This window comes from Homo sapiens, chromosome 15 (genome assembly GCF_000001405.40).
Source record: "Homo sapiens chromosome 15, GRCh38.p14 Primary Assembly".
In the NCBI taxonomy this organism is placed as follows: Eukaryota; Metazoa; Chordata; class Mammalia; order Primates; family Hominidae; genus Homo; species Homo sapiens.
This window is the reverse complement of record NC_000015.10, coordinates 28,514,034-28,533,413: the sequence shown is the minus strand read 5'-3', so window position 1 is coordinate 28,533,413 and position 19,380 is coordinate 28,514,034. Positions and strand designations below refer to the sequence as shown.

The 19,380-nt window shown below is 47.5% G+C and overlaps 1 protein-coding gene across 7 annotated transcripts, besides 1 other annotated feature; it reads left to right on the top strand.

The window, feature by feature from the left end:
• Positions 364-863: an enhancer, noted in NCBI's record as "H3K4me1 hESC enhancer chr15:28777697-28778196 (GRCh37/hg19 assembly coordinates)". NCBI's record gives its function as "activates a minimal SCP1, AML or CMV promoter by ChIP-STARR-seq in primed H9 embryonic stem cells {active_cell/tissue: H9 hESC(primed)}" and the evidence as "EXISTENCE:reporter gene assay evidence [ECO:0000049][PMID:30033119]".
• Positions 417-13,803, top strand: GOLGA8G (golgin A8 family member G). Of its 7 annotated transcripts, none has more exons than XM_024449906.2 (20): positions 417-459; positions 2,286-2,405; positions 2,991-3,050; positions 3,234-3,314; positions 4,169-4,207; positions 4,481-4,528; positions 4,617-4,701; positions 4,797-4,906; positions 5,926-6,015; positions 6,122-6,229; positions 6,425-6,512; positions 6,903-7,159; positions 7,427-7,495; positions 8,867-8,942; positions 9,380-9,471; positions 9,727-9,789; positions 10,046-10,146; positions 10,229-10,329; positions 10,419-10,571; positions 10,657-13,803. In XM_024449906.2, the coding sequence occupies exons 9-20, from the start codon at positions 5,953-5,955 to the stop codon at positions 10,839-10,841; spliced, it is 1,356 nt and encodes a 451-aa protein (XP_024305674.1). In that variant the 5' UTR covers positions 417-459; positions 2,286-2,405; positions 2,991-3,050; positions 3,234-3,314; positions 4,169-4,207; positions 4,481-4,528; positions 4,617-4,701; positions 4,797-4,906; positions 5,926-5,952; the 3' UTR covers positions 10,842-13,803. The 7 variants fall into 7 exon arrangements, 6 of the variants coding, with proteins under 6 accessions (XP_024305674.1, XP_024305673.1, XP_024305672.1 ...); XM_024449905.2 differs by having other exon boundaries at positions 443-588; positions 5,929-6,015; XM_024449904.2 differs by having other exon boundaries at positions 443-588.
• Positions 13,804-19,380: the final 5,577 nt, after the last annotated feature.

The following is a 19,380-nucleotide window of genomic DNA, read 5'->3' as shown; positions in this document are numbered from 1 at the left end:
GGATTTTCCATGTTCATAGGATCTGTATCTCGGTTAAGGTAATACTGGTAATTTTTGTACTCTATGAAAAATATAGGCCAAAATCATAGACCTTGCATAGAAGCTGGATCATGAAGACAGCTCTGGAGGAACACACAGGTACACACACACAGACACACATATATATAAAGTATACACATATATATATTTTTAAAAGCTTTTAAAGCAAAAGCCGGCCCTGCCCCTCTCCCAGAGTTGGCGGCCTCTCCCCTCTCTTAGGGTGGGTGGGGACAGTGGTTGCCTGGGCAGCTTTCCTTGTGAGCCAAAGGTCCCTCTGGACACATGATGCCTGGCCACGCCCCCTTTCCCTTTCATCTTTCTCATTAACCAATGGGCTTGGAGCATTAAGGCCACGCCCCTATTCTGCCTTCTACTGCATCCCTGGTTACGCCTCCTCTGGCTCAGTCGCACAGCTACCTGGTAGGTGACTGGAGGTGTTGATCAGTGCTTGGTGGGATTTTGCTGATGTGGCCCCAAGCCCGCCTCCCTCCCCACCCTGCGATGGCAGAAGAAACTCGACAAAGTAAATTGGCAGCAGCCAAGAGAAAGGTAAAAACACACCAGGTCACGGACCCCCAACCCAGCCATAGATCCTCTCCAACGACAAGACTGCTGCCAGAGTCCATACCACTCCCGAGGTTCACCGGACTGGGACCCCCACACCGGTGCCTCTGGGCTACCCCCACCAAAGTTTTGTCAGTCAGCCCCACCCCTTCAGCAAGCAGCCCAGTCTCTGCCCTCACCAATCACCCCAGGGTGACTTTGGGCAGGTGAATCCTGGGGCTCCCCGCTCCTTTACTGGGCCCTCATCTCCTGCCACCCCAAGCTTGACCTCCCAGGGCTTTTTGGGCTCACATCTCCAAGGACCTGGGTCCCACAGCCCCAGACCCCACCCTCACCAGTCATCCCTGGGTGACTTTAGGCTGGTGAATCCTGGGGCTCCCTGCTGCTGACTCTTCCCTTCCCTCCTGCTGCCTCAAGGTGGACCTCCCTAGGCTGTGTGCACTGGTGTCTCCAAGGACCTGGGTCCCAGCTCTGTTTTTCCCTCCCCTATCATGGAGCGGTGACTCGGACATCATGCTGATGTGGTCCCTCCCCCTCACCAGGAAGAGTGGAATGTAGTGATGTCACGGTCCATCCAGTAACTGTCATTACTGCAAGACTGGCCTTTGATCTTATGACCCAGTCCCCTAAGCATTGCCACCCCATTTCTGGTTCCTCTTGTCACAGCACAAATTTCCAGCTGGAAGGGGAATGGAGATTGGGACCTAGGAGCAAGAGGTTTCAGGCTGCCTCACTCCCTTAGCATAAACATTGACAGCGGGAAAAGCCTACACTTCCCCTGTGAGCTCAAAACATTGACAGTACCTCTGGATGGCAACTGGAGAATGGGTTTGACTTGGTTTGGTTTTCTCCCAGGCTTCTACTTTCCAGAGAGATTTTAACAAATTTTTTGTGAGTTCTCCACCTCACATTCTAATTCTCCATGGTTCTGGGACCAGACTGCCCTTCAGCCAGTGGTCTGTGAAGTGAGATTTGCTCATCTTCTGTGGAATAGATCTTGGGAAACTGAACTTGACAGCTTGAATCTTCCTCATATTATGTAAACCTGGGGTACTTTGAGTGCCACAGGATACATATGGGACATCTTTCTGAAGCATCAGTTTCCATTGATTCTCTTGAGATCAAGAGAAAAAACATTAATGTACTTAGGGATGACAGTCACATAGGTTTCTAACAGTATACCAGACTTCTCTCTGAAATGAGGCTTGGGTTGTCCTCTTTCTGATAAATTCCCAGATTTAACAGAAAGGCTGCCTTCTGCCATGAGGACACATTGATATAAGAGTTTGAGAGGTACTGGTGCACTTCTTCACACTAACAGACGTGTGAGGATGTATGACTAAACCACATGGCATACAGTTCCTGCCTACTTAATGTTTACTTTTCTACCTCTGCCTCTGGTTTTGGTCCCTGGCAGCTGATGATTCTTGGTAAAACCCCAGAGTTTGGAGTCAGAAGACTGAGTTTCAAAGTTCGTCTGTCGCCTTTTTCTTTTCTTCTTTTTTTTTCTAGCCATGATATCAATCTCTTTGAGTCACTAAATGATTGTGACAACACCTTGTACAGTTGTTGGTATCATTAAATCAGATGGTGTATAAGAGTATTTTATAAAAACTGTAAAGGAGGATGTGGCTGCAGGGGCTGATAGTTCTCATGAGTATTACTGCTCTTATTTCTGACAGTTAAAAGAATATTGGCAGAGAAACAGCCCTGGTGTTCCAGCAGGAGCCAAGAGGAACAGGAAAACAAATGGCAGCATCCATGAGACAGCCACTTCTGGTGGTTGCCACTCACCTGGAGATGTGAGTCTTGGCTGACTAGGTTCCTGGGGACAGGGGACCCAAGGGGCACTAGAGGGTAATTGTTAAGATTGTGGATGGACTGTTGGGTACCTGTGAAGAATTCTGGGTTTGAATCCTGCCTCTTTGTCTGCTAGGGATATGAATTAGGGCAAGTTGCTAGACCTCATCGGGCCTCTCTTTTCACATCTGTATAATAGAGGTGGTATTGTTTCACTTCCATTTGTGAAGTTTAAATGAGATTTGTTATTGTTGTTTTTATGTTAATCCCTAGTACATGGCCTGCTGTAAACACCCAGAACACCCAGGATATGGTCATTGCTGTTCGATTTTCCTCATCCCCAGTCTCAAGGGGAAGCCAGGACAATGAGAACAGTCACTTGGCACAGGAGTCACTGAAAGGGCCACAGGGTGCTGTGGTGGGGAGATAAGAACCATGAGAGAAGTTGGCACAAAGGAGTTATGGGACAAAGGGTCCAAGATAGGCAGAAAAGAAAATTGTGCCAGTTGATGGGGAAGAAAAGAAGTCAGAGGGCTTAGATACTGAGTGGGACAGAACATCTTCATGTGCACTCTCATCTCTTGTAGTCAGCAACAGGTATCCACGGGGAGAGCCCTACATCATCTGCTACCCTGAAGGATCTGGAGGTAAGAGGCTCTGGGCAGAGGTGCAGTGACCCTGCAGGCCAGCCCTCCAACCTCCTCCTCCAGGTGGGACGGGGTGCCCCTCTGCCAGCTGAGACAGTCCACACACACCCCAGCCCTAATGATTGCTCTCTCTACCTCTCCCCCCACTCCTCCTCCACCTCCTCCTCTCTGCATGCGCCTCAGAGCCCGTGCCAAGAACTAGCAGTAGTCCCAGACTCGAGGTCCGTAAAAGTCAGTCAACTGAAGAACACCATCAAATCTTTGGTAAGAGTCCACTGGGGTCCCCTGATTCCACGCTGCCAATCCTGGGCTCTAGTTTCCCCTTGGGGCCCTGAAGAAAGGGGACGGCGGCCCCTGGTGCCAAGGGCGAATAGGGAGCTGGGGCGCCCAGGCCTCACCTGGAGGGACCCCGGAGCATGCAGCATGGCTCTTTTTTTGCTGCCCTGTTTGCTGACTCTCCCCTCTCCAGACGCCCCTGCTCGAGTCCTTGCTACACACGCCCTGGGATTGTTGCCTCTTGGGGAAGTGCTAGCCTGACTGGTTGTCAGGGGCCCCGTATTTCTGCCATGACTCAGTCCCTAATTTGCTCTTTGATTCTGGACAAGCCACCTCTCCTTTTTGGGCTCATGTTTCCAGAGGAAGTAGTGAGTATCAAAGGTCTCTGTTAGCTCTCGAGTCTGAGATTTAAAGGCCTCCTAGAATGGAAACCTCAGGGCCAAAGGCTCCTGTCTGTCCTTTTCCGCCCTAAATCTTCTGTGAAGAACCGTACTTGGCCCGTACGTGCTCAGTAAATGTTTATTGAATGAATGCACTTTTCTAAATCACAAGCTGGCAGAAGGGGGGGCCTTTCTCAAACTCCATCTCTAGAGGTTTATGTTACTGTCCTGTCAAGAGATTCCAGATTCAGACCTTGAGTTCTGTGGCTGTGGACAAAAGCCAACAAAGACCCAAATCCTCTGTCCTTGGGAGCTTGAGGAGAGTTTACCAGTTCGAGTTCCCACTGGGTCTGAGAACTTTGCCTTTAAAATCCATTCCTGGCCCCTGCCTACCACTTCCTGCTCTGGGGAATAGAGTTGAGGGGGCCACCCTCCATCACCTTAATGTGACTCTCCCCACAGAAACAACAGAATAAACAAGTGGAACATCAGCTGGAAGAAGTAACATGATTTCTTTGTTTGCTCGCGACATGACTGCTCGGTTTGGGGGACACTCAGATGTAGAGGCCCCGAGTCTCGTCTCACCCACTCCCAGCCTGGGGAAGAAGGCTCACCCCCCAGAGTCCACCCCATCCCCCACAGGGTCCCTGATAACCCGGTCCCATGGGTGGGCCTGTCCCGGGGCAGGGGCAGTGGTGGCATTCTGGGGACATGTCTCTTGCAGTACCATCTCTGCCTCTGCCTGGTTAGATCTCTGTCTTCCTCTTCCTACAGGAAAAGAAAGCAAACAACGAGAAACAGAAAGCCGAAAGGGAGCTAGAGGTGAGTGGACGGTGTGCAGTTTTCTCCTGTCCTCCGGAGAATGTTTCTTTCCTTCTCTTTCAGCACTTGCTTGGCTTTTCTCCCAAAGGTTCAAATCCAGAGATTGAACATACAGAAAGGGAAACTAAATACGGACCTGTACCACACGAAACGTTCTCTCAGATACTTTGAAGGTGGGAATCTGGGTACCCTGTCATCCTTCAACCTGGCACTTTGACAGGTCTTCAGGGGGAGTCCTTTGGGCCCCATCTCAACTCTCTCATTACAGAAGAGTCCAAGGATCTGGCCGTCCGTCTGCAACATTCATTGCAGCGTAAAGGAGAGTTAGAGCGGGCTCTCTCTGCTGTCACCGCCACACAGAAGAAGAAGGCGGAGAGGGTGAGTCCAACCACCTGCCCCGTCCCCTGGGAGCCTGGCTTCGCAGACAGAGGAGTGAGCCTAAAGGTCCCTTCTGCAGGATGGAGTGTCCTGCCCAGAAGGCAGCATGGCCATTTCTCACTGCTTTTTTGTATGGTTGTTAGCGGCAGCTTGGGACTGAGTCAGCTGCTGTGGGTGAGTTGGGGGGCACTCTGGGGAGAGAGCACAGGACGTAGAGCTTGGAGGCCAAGTGCCTGCCATGCCTTTACCTGGCTGTGGTCTTGGCCAAGTCCTCAGTGGGTATTGGGTACTTGTACTGTGAAGGTACAGAAGAGTACCTTTAGTATGTTACCATTTCTGTAGAGAGAGGAAACGTGTGTGTGTGTGTACATATTATGATAATATACATAAAATATGTTTGCAAGTGTTCATAAAAACTCAGGAGAGAGCAACAGGGTGGCTGGGAGATACTTCCCTTCTGTACCTTCTGAGTTTGGGACTATGTGAATGTATTATCCTTTCAAAAAGTGAACAAAAGATTAATTTTCCCCTTCCTAGCTGTGCCCCCACCCCCAGCAAGAAAAATGGGCTTAGAGAATTGGATAGATCTGGGTGTTTAAATCCCAGCTCTGCCTAAGTGATCTTAGGCAAGCACTTAACCTCAAATACTCCATGTTTTTTCATCTACACAATAGAGGTCATCATAGTAACTGTCTCCCATGGTAGTTGCGAGGATTAAATGGGATTGCTAGCATGGTATCTGGTGAAGCACTCCATAAAAGTTCAAACAGTGGTAATAATAACAGTAATAACAATAGCAATATTATCTGATCTCTCTGGGCCTCTGTTAGCCAGCTATAAATTCGATCTCTTTCCCTGTCCCTTCCAACTTTACTGAGTTCTTTAAAAACCAAACCACGGGCTTGGAAATGCCTTGATCTTTACTGACCGAGTTGTATATTGGGCCTAGCCCTGGCCCTTTTAAGGGGCACTGTGTGGAATGGCCCGGCCTCACCAGATTGAAACTTCTCACTCTTCAGCAGTTCTCCAGCCGCAGTAAAGCACGTATGGAGTGGAAGTTAGAGCAGTCCATGCGGGAGCAGGCACTGCTGAAAGCGCAGCTGACACAGGTGAGGTGTTCAGAGGGAGGGATGTGGAAGGAAGATGACCCCAGGTAACCAGGAGCAGGTGAGGACCAGTGACAGCCCTTCCTAATTTCTGTGCCCATTCTTGCAGTTGAAGGAGTCACTTAAAGAAGTCCAGCTAGAGAGGGATGAATATGCTGAACATCTAAAAGGAGAGAGGGCCCGGTGGCAGCAGAGGATGAGAAAAATGTCGCAGGAGGTGAGATCTGACCCTTCAGCCCCCCCACATTAGATAGGTCACTGGATCTTTCTGGGCACCTGTAAAATGGGAATAGTAGAGCCAGAGGTGGTCCTGGGACTGGGCTTTGTGGAGGTGGGGGCAGAGAGGGAGATGGTAGCATGTCCAGCCTCCAGCCCCTCTCTCCAGGGCCCTTTCCCCCTGTGCTTTGGGCAGGTTTGCTCGTTGAAGAAGGAGAAGAAGCATGATAAATATCGGGTAGAGAAGCTGGAGAGGAGCTTGTCCAAACTCAAACACCAGATGGGTAAGATGGGGCTGGCGTGACCTGGCAGCAGGACTGGCATCAGAGGGCTGTGAGGGTGGCTTGGAGTGCCCCAGCGAGGTGGGTGGATGGAAGGGCTTTGAGGCAGAGGGAAAGAGGTCTGTGCCAGGAGACGGCAAGTCTTGTCATCTCAATGAGCCTCAGTGTCCCCATCAGCAAAGAGGGCCCGTTGTCAGCCACCCGCAGTGCTCTTTCTCTGAAAGTGCTTTGGAAGACTGGCTACCATCTGGGTGCGAGGAATCATTAGCAGTGAGGCTAAGTTTGAGGAGCCGGAGAGGAGCTGTGCGCCAAGAGGAGGGTTTTTTCTTTTCTTTTCTTTTCTTTTTTTTTTTTTGGAATCCAGAGGCTCTTATTGTCTGCTTCCTTTCTCAGCTGAACCTCTGCCCCCGGAGCCCCCAGCAGTGCCCTCTGAGGTGGAGCTGCAGCACCTGAGGAAGGAACTAGAGAGAGTGGCAGGAGAGCTCCAGGCCCAGGTGGAGTACAATCAGCGCATAAGTCTCCTGAATGAGGGGCAAAAGGAGAGGCTTCGGGAGCAGGAGGAGAGGCTTCAGGAGCAGCAGGAGAGGCTTCCAGAGCAGGAGGAGAGGCTTCAGCAGCTGGCCGAGCCACAGAACAGCTTCAAGGAGCTGGTGCGTTGCCCCAGCTGGGGAGCTTGCCCTCCTCCCTAGCCCTCCAGGCCTTTGTTTCCCCACCTATAAAATGGGGCAGTGTAGCCCTCAAGTGAAATGTTACTCCTAAAGGCACCTGTGAGCCAGAGCCCTGCTCTGGTGGCTGTGGGAGACAGGGGATGATTTTTCTAACCTGCCTCCACCCTTCCCGGTGCCATGGGAGGCAGTCACCAAGTTCTGGGGTCTCCAGCTGCAGTGGGTGGCTGCTGATTGCTTCTCTCTGTCCAGAACAATGAGAACAAGAGCGTACTACAGTTGGAGCAGCAAGTAAAGGAGCTGCAGGAGAAGCTAGGCAAGGTGAAGGAGACGGTAACCTCCACCCCATCCAAGAAGGTCTGGGAGGTGGGTGGGCACCAGCCTCTGGGGAGGGGAGGTGCCAGGCCAGCGGTAGCTCCAGCCCGGGGGCAGGTGACCCCAGCACCCTCCAGGGCAGTCCTGTGGCTGTTTCTTGCTTCCTGCCCTCTGATTTTAGAGGTGGGTAGCCCTGGGCTCCTCCCAGGTCTGGACATCATCATTCCAGCTAGAGACATGGAGCCCCCCCAATCACAGGGGAAGAGACAGAGTGGTATAACAGTCTTCTTATGCCAGATGCGGTGGCTTACGCCTATAGTGCCAACACTTTGGGAGGCTGAGGCAGGAGAATCACTTGAGGTTTGGAGTTTGAGATCAGCCTGGCCAACATGGTAAAACCTCATCTCTACTAAAATTACAAAAACAAAAAACAAAAAAAGAAAGAAAAATTAGTGGGGCATGGTGGTGGCGCATGCCTGTAATCCCACCTACTCAGGAGGCTGAGGCACGAGAATTGCTTGAGCCCAGGAGGTGGAGGTTGCAGTGAGCTGAGATTGCACCACTGCACTCCTGCCTGGGCCACAGAGTGACACTCTGTCTCAAAACAAAACAAAAAGACTCCTTAGATTAAAACTGGATTCCAGCCTCAGTTCCACTGGTCACCATTCAAGTACTTCGCATCTCTAAGTCTCTGTTTCTTTAACTTCAAAAGGAAGTTAGCATTTTCCTTACAGAGGTGCTGAGGATTAAATGAGATAATACATGGGAAGCATTAGGCCTGTAGCACATTTAGCAGATGGTGGTTGGCTCCCATACTTTTCTACCATTCTGTGGCCTACAGTTGAAATGGTGGGAAGAGGACATGAGATTTGAGGCTGGGGAAGGAGGCATGGGGTTCTAGGAAAGCAAGGCAGTCACTTAGGCCTGAAGTAAGGGGCCAGGGGCCTGGGCAGGCGACAGAGCCCCACAGTGCCCTCGCTACCCTATTAATGGGCCCAGAATCTGCAAACCAGCCACCACGTGCCCTCACACCCAGGGTCTTCCTGCAGGTGGAGCTGAAGAGCCAAGAGGCTCAGAGTCTGCAGCAGCAGCCAGACCATTACCTGGGTCACCTGCAGCAGTACGTGGCCACCTATCAGCAGCAGGTGGCCGCCTATCAGCAGCTGACCTGTGAGAAGGAGGCGCTGTACAGGCAGTGACTGCAGCAGACCCAGCTAATGAACCAGTTGCAGCAGCAGGAAGCTTGGGGCAAAGCGGTGGCCGAGATGGCCTGCCAAAAGTTGCAGGAGACCCAGGGGAGGGAGCTGCCGAGGATGGGGCTGTGAGGGGGACGACCTGGCAAACTCTGTGCCTTCTCACTCTTTCCTGGCCCCTTAGGAGCGTCTGGAAGCTGCGAGCCAGCAGAAACAGCAGCTAACGGCCCAGTTGAGCCTCATGGCTCTCCCTGGGGAAGGTACGGGAGACCGCTCAGAGGAAGAGGAGAGAGCCCCAGGAGGAAGGGGGGACTGCTAGCAGCATAGGATTGAGGAGTTGGAAGAGACCTTTAGAACAGCTGGTCATTATACTAACCGGGTGCCTGCACTAAGTTCAGCATCAATATGGTGACCTCCTGTGAGCGGGGGGCCACCAAGTTGCCTAAGGATGGCTGAACTGGCCGAGGTCAGAAAGGGAGCAGGTCAGAACTCCCGCACCGACCAGTAGTGGGAATGTGCCTGGGCAGTATAGCAAGATCTTGGTTCTTCAAAGTAAAAATAAATAACAGCAGCTCATTCCTCTCTGGGGAGGGCCTGGCTCAGGGTTACACAATGAGGGTGGAGGCAGAGGTGGGCCCACAATACTTCCCTTGTTGAGTTGTCTGAGGACCCCTCTGGCCACCACCCCCACCCCCAGGAGATGGAGGAGGACATCTGGACAGTGAGGGGGAGGAGGCACCTCGGCCCATTCCTAGCATCCCACAGGACCTGGAGAGCAGGGAGGCCATGGTAAGCCTGACTCCACCTGAACCCATTTTGCCTCCTTCCTCTGTGGTCCCTCCAAGACCCCTTTATGCTCTTCGTTTCCCTGCCTTCTGATTTCTCTGGACCCTCACCCCTTCTGGGAGCCAGTGGTCAGACACCATTTCACCTGTGACCAACATGTGCAGTCTCTGGGGCCCCAAGGGAAGGGGCTGCGCTCCACCTCTCTGCCCCATTTGTTCTGTGTATGCCCCTGCAAGAATGCTCACATCTTGCCCTCAGGTGGCATTTTTCAAGTCCGCTGGAGCTAGTGCCCAGGAGAAGCAGGCACAGTTACAAGAGCAGGTGAAAGAGCAGAGGGTGTGCTGCCAGCGCCTGGCTCACCCGGTGGCCTCGGCCCAGAAGGAGCCAGAGGCAGCCAGAGGCCCTGGAGCCCCAGGGCCTGGGGGCGAGTCTGTGAGTGGGGAGACCCACCGGGCCCTGCAGGAAGTCACGGAGAAGCTGGCCCATGCCGGAACTCACCTCCGCCTTCTCCATGACTTGAAAATGCCACCTGAGGGCAGGTCGCTGGCGAGATGTGACCCCATTATTTTGGCTCCAGAGCGGCTTTATGGACCACCTGGAGGAGAAGGCAGACCTGAGTGAGCTGGTGGAGAAAGAAGAACTTGGATTCTTCCAGTACTACAGAGAGAGATGCCATCAGTGAGTGGGAGGCCAGGGCATGGCAGGGGGAGCTGCAGGGCTGTTGGAGGGGCCCCAGCGTCTGAGCCCTGTCCTCCCGCAGGAAAGTTTATCACCCTATAACAAAGCCAGGGGGCAGTGCCAAAGATGCAGCACCGGGAGGAGGACACCATCAGGCTGGCCCTGGACAGGGAGGAGATGAAGGTAGAGTGTGCAACATCTCTGCGGGGGTGGGGGTGGCTGTGACGGTGAGCGCTGGCAGCAGCGTGACAGCTGAGCACCCCTCCCTCCAGGTGAAGCTGCTGGAGCTGCAGGAGATGGTGTTGCAGCTGGTGGCGACTACAAGGGACACAGCAAATTCTTGGTGACTGCCCAGAACCCTGCTCATGAGCCCAGTCCAGGAGCCCCAGCCCCCCAGGAGCTTGGGGCTGCCCACAAGCATGGTGGTGAGTAGAGCCCTCAGGCGGGGTGGGCAGGCAGGAGCAGGGGGGCTCTCACTGAGCTCAGATCCCCGCCTCCCTCTCTCCAAAGATCTTTGTGAGGTGAGCCTCACTGACAGCGTGGAGCCTGTGCAAGGAGAGGCCAGGGAGGGTTCTCCCCACGACAACCCTACTGCACAGCCGATCGTGCAGGACCACCAGGAGCACCCAGGCTTGGGCAGCAACTGCTGTGTGCCATTCTTTTGCTGGGCTTGGCTGCCAAGAAGAAGGAGATAAACATCACCATCGTCAAAGAGCTGCTGAAGAAATTTTTAAAAAAGAAACAAAGTTATGGGGTTAATCTCCTACACAATTCATTTACTTCATTTGAATGTTATAGCCACTTATGATTATTTGTGTTTCTAATTTATAGTTTAAGTTCATTTGTAAATAGTTAAAAGAGAGTGGGTCTCTGTGGCTTTCACTGATGTTCACTCTGGCATACTTTCGCAATTTTCTTTTTCAATTTCATAATTGTAGGTCATTAGCATGCATATTGAGTTTGCCCTTACGTGGTGGGAGTTCAAACACACAAAGACCCACTATTTGCACAAAACTATTCTTGCTGGTTTGGAATAGGCTGCCATGTGTTTTTAATGTTATTGCAGCATGTATATTCATTACAGAATTCAGATAAAATGTGCCTATGTTCTGCTGTTGTTTGATCTAATCTTAATCACAGTGAGCTCTTCATTAGCACAATATGTGGTTTGCCCCAAGTGTGCACTATTTAATACTTTGTAATATGCCACCAAGAGTACTGACATTTAGAGTTGTTTAAAGGCCGAGAACTGGAAACAGCCTTTTCCTCATTTTCTGTGTATTGGTGATGGGAGTAATAACATTTTGGGGGAGCTTTTTAAATTTCACAGAAGAGGAAAGTTGCCTGCTCTGGCAGGTATGTGCAAGATAGAGTGTGTTTCATTTGTTCTGTTGCCAAGAATTAGTGCTGTACTATTGTAGTTCCTTTAGGATTTGTATGTGCTCTGGGCTCATGAAGATATTGCATCATGAGCTTCAGCAGTTGTACTCTTTTTTGATGACCTAAAAAGGGCTTATTTCTGAGGAATGAAAGGTTCCCATCATTGACTACGGTTGTGGAAAACCTTTCCTAGCTTAGAGCATTTGTATCTATATTTTAAAGTCAGAGTTCATGTTACCTGTTTTAATCACATGACTGCATGTCCCAGTACACAAAAGGGCACTGGTTGGCATTCTTCTTAATGTATTTAGTAAAGATCATAAGAAATCCTTTAAGAGTTCAAATGTCCCTGGAACAGGCATACAGGCTCTAGTCAAGAATGAATTAGAGTGAAGGAAAGCTGTGTGACACCTGGCATTCCTCTGTTCATGGAGCTTCTTTGAGGCTTGAAGATTGATTTTACCATCTAGACCACTCTGCCTATTCTTCAACCACCTTGGTTACTTTGACATAGGAATTGACTTCTTTTCCTTGAATGGAAAACACTTTGAAATAATAATAAACATTGTTATAAACTAATATATGTGAGAGTGCTTAGTTGAAACAAAAAGGAGTTTTAGTAGACAGTATTATACTATCTTTGAAAATCAAGGAGAAGTTTATGCAACTTAAAATGTGTACAAACTGCAGTGCAATCTACTGTTGGTGAATGTCAGTGTATTATCAGGAAACATGTCTATACAATCACAGAGTTATATTTCCTCACAAACTTCTTTGTGAAGAGTGAAATGTGTTTCTGTACCTCTGGGTTTCACTTACGGGCATATTTTGTGCAGTATTTATGTGATTGTGCCTATGCATGATGAATGAATGAATTTCAGTTGTACATTGCCTAAATCATAACTTGATGATGCTTGGGAAAGACTCAACAGTTAAAACTTCATGAAGTTCTAATGTCTGTGTTCCAAAACACATCACATTATTAGGATGTAGGGAGATATGTATGTGTGCTCCCTGGGGTGGGGATTTCTAGTTACTAGACCATCTCCATTTTTAGCATTTGGCATCCTCATGATACTTTTATAAATACGACATTAACAGGAGAGCAGCAGTACGATTTTGCCGATGGAATAACAGATTTGCCGGCAATCACTGAAAGAGTGCAAACATCGGGTCCTTGTGACTTCAACGGACTCTTCCAAATTGTATGAATGTATCAATGTATTAGATAAACCCAGTTTCAGAATGATAAAGAAAAAATGTTAGACCAAATAATGCGGCTAGTTAACAGTGGTACGATTTCTCGCCCGTGGCTTTAAAATGCACTTAAAGTCCTGTCCTTGCCTTTTATTTTCTGAACTTGATGTTTTTGCATTCTTTGAGTTCAGTTTAAAGACAACTACGAGCATCTGTAACCAATCTGACAATAATGTGTTCATCAGGTGCCTGTGGATTAAATCACATACTGGCATATTTAAGCTGAATGTCAATCTGGAAAATAAATTGACTGTATTAACGGAAATACCACTCTTTGTGTAGATATTTGTCGTATATTGAAGAAAAAGCTAAAAAGAATGGAAATCGCATGACTATAACTTAAGTCTTTCTTCAAAGTGCATGCAGTCTTTTGCGATACCTCATTCAGCCAAGTATTGGTATTCTTCCTCATTCGGTATAAGGCAGCTTTCAATTTGCTTAGAGGGCAACATTGGAAGGTTAGAGTTCATCAGAAACAGAATTCTAAAATGTGAGTTCAATTCAATAAATTTGAATTTCTGTAGGAAGAATCAAATCACCGATTTAAAGATTGCAATATATAATAATCATTTTTAAAGTATTGGATTAAATCTGATAGGTTTTCCAGAAATGAACAAAAATCAGCTCTAAAACCAAAGCTGATTTTTAGAAAATTTGAAAATGTAAATCAGCCCTATCCATACTATAGTTTCTCTAAAACTTTATCTGAAAGAGTCATTTTAAAATAACTATTAAACAATGTAACTGCTATCTTAATGTTCTGAAATAAGTTAAAACATTTTAAAATATGAATACTGTAAAGGAAATAAACGGTGGGAAGGAAAAGTAGAGAAAGAAATGCCAATTCCAGTCCAAAGCTTTATTTGCCAAGTTTTCTTAGAATGAATTTTACCAATTTATGAATTCTTGTAAGCGGAATGTAAAACGGAAATACTGAAAGACTTTTGCCTAAAGTGGCATTATTGACTGCTGGTGTGATGCTACTGTAATGTAATAAATTATTAAGTTGTTGCAAAGTGCTGTTTTTGCCTTAAAATTTTATTCTGTGTGTCTTCAAAAATATAGTATTAAAGGTATTGATACTGTGCAAATGCTGAGCATGCTTGGCATGAGATAATGTTTCATTTTTACAAAATTGTAATATAACTATGCAAGGGTTTATTAAAAGAACACAAAATAAAAAAGTTATGGGATTAACAAAAGTTATGGGGTGAAAAAGTTATGGGATAAAAAATGTAAAAAAGTTGTGGCAAAAAAATCTTGTGACCAAAAAGTAGAAGAAAGTTTTATGAAAAGTTACCAAAAAAAGTTATGAAAAAGAAGTTATGGGATTTAAAAAAAAAGGCATGGGATAAAAATAAAAATTAAAATTAAAAGCAGGCCCCTGTCAGCAAAGCCTGGAGAAGTGGGGCTGGGGTCTCCACCACCACACTGTCCCTATCTCCCCTTCCCAGTCACCCCTTTACAATTAGGGTAGCAGGACAAGACCTCTGTCTAACGAGGAAAGACAAACAGACCCTTTGCCACCTTGACCAGAGCTGAGTCCTTAAATTTCTGGATGATATTGTTATTTAAGAGCCAGAGGCTGGTGGAGTTGGTTTGTTTGGAGGAGGCCTCATGGCCTCCTTACTCTCACCATAGCAACTTTTCCCTCAGTGGGGGCTCCAATCTTCTTATTCAGAGAGGTAGCTGAGGCAGGACAGTGGGGCTAACTGTGGACCAGGCGAAGGCATGGGCTGCTGGGGTGGCCCCCCTTCCCCGGTGTATATATTGTGTCTGTGTAAGGTTTTGTATATTCCAGAGGGTAGGGCCACCCCTGTATCATACCTAGCGGTGGTTGGAGGTGGCACATGGGGAGGAGGTTCTAATAATTATTTGTGGCTGGGAAACTTACTTATTGCTAGCATAGGACAGAGGAAGAAGGCAGGGATGGGGTCATGGCTTCCCAGTGGTGTGATCACAGTTCACTGCAACCTCCAACTCTCATGCTCAAGTGATCCTCCCACCTCAGCCTCCCAGGTAGCTGGGAGTATAAGCATGCACTACTATGCCTGGCTAATTTTTAAATTTTTTGTAGAGAAAAGGTCTTGCTATGTTGCCCATGCTGGTCTTGAACTCCTGGGCTCAAGCGATTCTCCCATCTTGGCCTCCCAAAGCACTGGGGTTACAGGCATGAGACATTGCTCCTGTCCATAAGATTTTCTCTTTATTACTGTTTTGTTGTTGGTGGTGGTGTTTTGTTTTGTTTTTATTTTTTGACAGAGTCTCGGTCTGTTGCCTAAGCTGGAGTGCAGTGGTGCAATCTCTGCTCACTGCAACCTCCGCCTCCTGGTTCAAGCAATTCTTATGCCTCAGCCTCCCGAGTACCTGGGGTTATAGGCATAAGCCACTGCGCCTGGCTAATTTTTGGATTTTTAGTAGAGACAGAGTTTTGCCATGTTGGCCAGATTGGTCTTCAACTCCTGGCCTTAAGCAATCCGCCCTCCTCAGCCTCCCAAAGTGCTGGGATTACAGGTGTGAGCCACTGCTCCTGGCTAAGATCCCATCTCTATTTAAATAAAAAAAGAAAATTCAGAATCTATGGAACACAGAACACCAAAGGCCAGTTATTTACCTCTCTGAGGTAATCTGTGTAAACAATTTGATATATATCCTTTCAAGTTCATACTTGCTATGCATACATATATATACACACATACATTGACATATTCCCCCTTCCCTGCCGTCATGCTATTAGTCTTCTTTTTTTTGTAGAAATTGGACCAACTCTATGTTCTTTGCTGGCCCGTATTTCTCCTATTCAGTGATGTGTTATGAATATCTGTTTAAGTCAATGTATGCAACTCTTTAATATCATTTTAAAAGGTTACGACATACGATCATATGAAGGCATTAGAATTTATTCCAACAGTTCCCTTTTGCACATTTAATAATTTCCATTGATTTGCCAGGAAGAACATTCTCGTGTCATGGCTAAATCCTTTTGTATGGACATCCTTAATTATTCCCTTAAGATAAACTTTTAAATAAAGTTGCTAGATTAGTCTCGTTTCTTAAGTTCTTTTTTGGTAGTTTATATGTAACACTGTAGTTTTATATGTACTTACAAATACCTATAGTGCCAGTAGAAAATGGGATAAAATTAAACTCTTTCACATATGCCAAATATATTTTGATTTAGCGCTTTATTAAGTGCATGATTACAGTCTCTGTATCTTTTGATTTACCTTTCTATCTTTACAATTTTCAGCCGAGATACTTAGAGGTCACATGATAAATTAAGGTTTTCTTTTTTTAATAATCTCCATCTTTCTAAATATGGTGAGTCACAGTCAGCTATTTTTGGATTGTTGAAAGCTGTGACTGTTCTAAATCGGAGCCCAGAAATCACGCCACTTACCAAATATGCTTTGTCTTCCAACATCAGAGTGTCTGGTAGAAGGTGACTGTTCTTGGAATTTAAAAAATCTGAACAGGACAAGACAAGAATCTGGACACTTTTTCTGTTTCTGATAATATGATTGAGTAGGTAGACACGCTGGATAATCCTTGCAAAGACATACTTGAACTTCCCAAAAAAAAAAAAAATAAAATCCAGAATCTCTAAGAATGAAGATGGAGTGAAAATCAGAAGGGCTGCTGAGAGAATAATGGGGAAGCAGCCCCAGTTATCAAGGGACATGTCCATGTGTTCAATAGAAAGTTTCAGATGTAAAAAAAAGTTGAGAAAAATAATATATATATTATATATAATAAATGATATAATTGCCCTACATATACACATCATCAACAATTTTTCATTCATGGTATGGACAGTTTTTTTTTTTGGTTGTTTTTTGTTTGTTTGTTTGTTTTTAAAGGTGGGATTTTGCTGTGGTTGCCCAGGCTGGAGTGCAGTGGCATGATCTTGGCTCACTGCAACTTCCACCTCCCAGGTTCAAGCGATTCTCCTGCCTCAGCTTCCCGAGTAGCTGGGATTACAGGCACCCGGCACCACATCCGGCTAATTGTTGTATTTTTAGTAGAGATGGTGTTTCACCACGTTGGCCAGGCTGGTCTTGAACTCCTGACCTCAGGTGATCCACCTGCCTCGGTCTCCCAAAGTGCTGAGACTACAGGCGTGAGCCACCACACCTGGCCACAGCCAGTTTTGTTTCATTTATATTCCCACTTCATTTATATACATTCCTTCTTCCTCTGAATTATTTTGAAGTAAAACCTATACATCCTATCATTTTTAATTACCTTATATGTATCTGTAGAAGACAAGGAATTCTTAAAAATAAATATATTCACAATGCCATTAAATATCAAAAAATTAATATTCTGAAAATAGCCACAAATCCAGAGTTGACATTTTGTTGACTTTCTCATAGGTGATTTTTTTTCTAGTTTATCTATTTCAATCAGATAACTGTTTGCTCATATTTACATTCCTTACTGAACAATGTCTAAACTTAAACTGACATAAAATGGAGATGATCTTCTAACCAGATGCTTAGTGTAAGAAAAAACTTCAAACTGCAAGAGGAGTCCCTCCAAATACAGAAAGGACCAGTATTTTAAGAGGTATGTTAACTAAAATGTGGCAATGTAAGGAGCAAAGCAGGAAGAACCTTTAAGTCCTAAACTTACAAGTCAATTTCATAGTCAGTTTCCCTGGTCCTTCCACAACAACCTCCCCCATCTGTTTTCTCTACAATGGAGGTAACAATAGTAGCTATTCCAGAGCAGGAAAAGGCTTAGAGCAGTGCTAGAAGAGGGTCGTGGCTATATAAAGTTTAGCTATTTGTATATTGTAACAAACTAACTTTTTTTGGTCAATAATAGATTTCTGTTGGAAAAGTAGCAGCCTCCTGTCTGGGGACACCTGCAGTTCCACTAAGTGAACATTGGTGTCTGCTAACCTTTGCCTCTATTTCTCTCAATATACTGTGAAGCTGTTCCTGGATTTAGCAATTTTATATACTTCTTTTTATTATTCTTTTTTTCCTTTCCCTTTTCCTGAGACACAGTCCTGCTCTGTCACCCAGTCTGGACTGCAGCAGCGCCATCATGGCTCACTGCCACCTCCACCCCGGGCTCAAGCAATCCTCCTGCATCAGCCTTCAGAGTAGCTGGGACTACCCAGGGGGGCCCACCAGGTCTGGCTAATCTTTGTGGTTTTTGTTTTGTTTTTCCGTTAAGGGACTGGGTTTCCGGCCAGGCACAGTGACTCACGCCTGCAATCGCACCACCCCTGGAGGCCGAGGCCGGCGGATCTCCCCAGGTGAGGAGCAGGAGACCAGCCCGACCAACATGGAGAAACCCCATCTCAACCTAAATAAATAAATAAATAAATAAATAAATAAAAGTAGCCAGGCTTGGTGGCTCACGCCCTTGATCCCAGCCACTCAGGAGGCTGAAGCAGGAGAATCACCCAAACCCGGGAGGCGGAGGCCCGGCGAGCCGAGACCGCGCCACTGCACTCTAGCCTGGGCAACAAGAGGGAAACTCCGTCTCAAAAAAAAAAAAACAGGTTTCACCATGTTGCCCAAGCGGGTCTGGATCTCCTAGGCTCAAGCGATTTGCCACACTCAGCCGTCCAAAATCCTAGGATCACAAGCGTGAGCCATGACGCCAGGCCGATCTATTCCTGTCTGATTAAAAATTGGGCCGGTTGCGGTGGTTCACGCCTGCGATCCCAGCACCCCGGGAGGCTGAGGCGGGCGGATAACCTGAGGTCAGATTGAGGCCAGCCTGAGTAACATGGAGAAACCCCATCTCTACCAAAAAAAAAAAAAAAATTAGCAGGGCATGGTGGCTCACGCTTGCAATCCCAGCCACTCGGGAGGCTGAGCCAGGAGAACCACCCAAACCCGGGAGGCTGAGGCTGCGGGGAGCTGAGACCCTGCCACTGCACTCCAGCCTGGGCAACAAGAGTGAAACTCCCTCTCAAAAAAAAAAAAAGAGAGAGAGAGAGAGACTGAGTTTCACCATGTTGCCCAGGCCGGCGTGTAACTCCTAGGCTCAAGGGATCCGCCGCGCTCGGCCATCGGAAGTCCTGGGATCACAAGCATGAGCCGCCACGCCAGGCCCATCTGTTCCTTTCTGATTAATAAATTGCGCCCGGCGCGGTGGCTCCCTCCTGCAACCCCACCACCCTGGGAGGCCGAGGCGGGCGGATCACCTGAGGTCGGGAGTTTGAGACCAGCCTGACCAACATGGAGAAACCCGTCTCTACCAAAAAAGAAAAAAAAATAAGCTGGGCATGGTGGCTCACGCCTGCAATCCCACCACCCCGGGAGGCCGAAGCAGACGGGTAATCTGAGGTCAGGAGTTTGAGACTACCCTGACGAAGGGAGAAACCCCGTCTATACCAAAAAAAAAAAAAAAAATACAAAAAGAGCCGGGCATGTTGGCTCATGCCTGCAATCTCAGCCACTTGGTAAGCTGAGGCAGGAGAACCACCCAAATCCCGGAAGCGGAGGCCGCGGGGAGCTGAGACCGCGCCACTGCACTCCAACCGGGCAACAAGAGTGAAACTGCCGCAAAAAAAAAAAAAGAAAAAAAAAAAAAAGAGAGCGGGTTTCACCGTGTTGCCCCGGCCTGTCTGGA

Bases quoted from the DNA above. Each gene is read 5' to 3' on its own strand.
- GOLGA8G (XM_024449904.2), top strand. From the start codon at position 505: ATGTGGCCCCAAGCCCGCCTCCCTCCCCACCCTGCGATGGCAGAAGAA. The intron at 2,406-2,990 runs GTGAGTCTTGGC...CATCTCTTGTAG, and splicing joins GTTGCCACTCACCTGGAGAT to TCAGCAACAGGTATCCACGG. The intron at 6,230-6,424 runs GTGAGATCTGAC...TGCTTTGGGCAG, and splicing joins TGAGAAAAATGTCGCAGGAG to GTTTGCTCGTTGAAGAAGGA.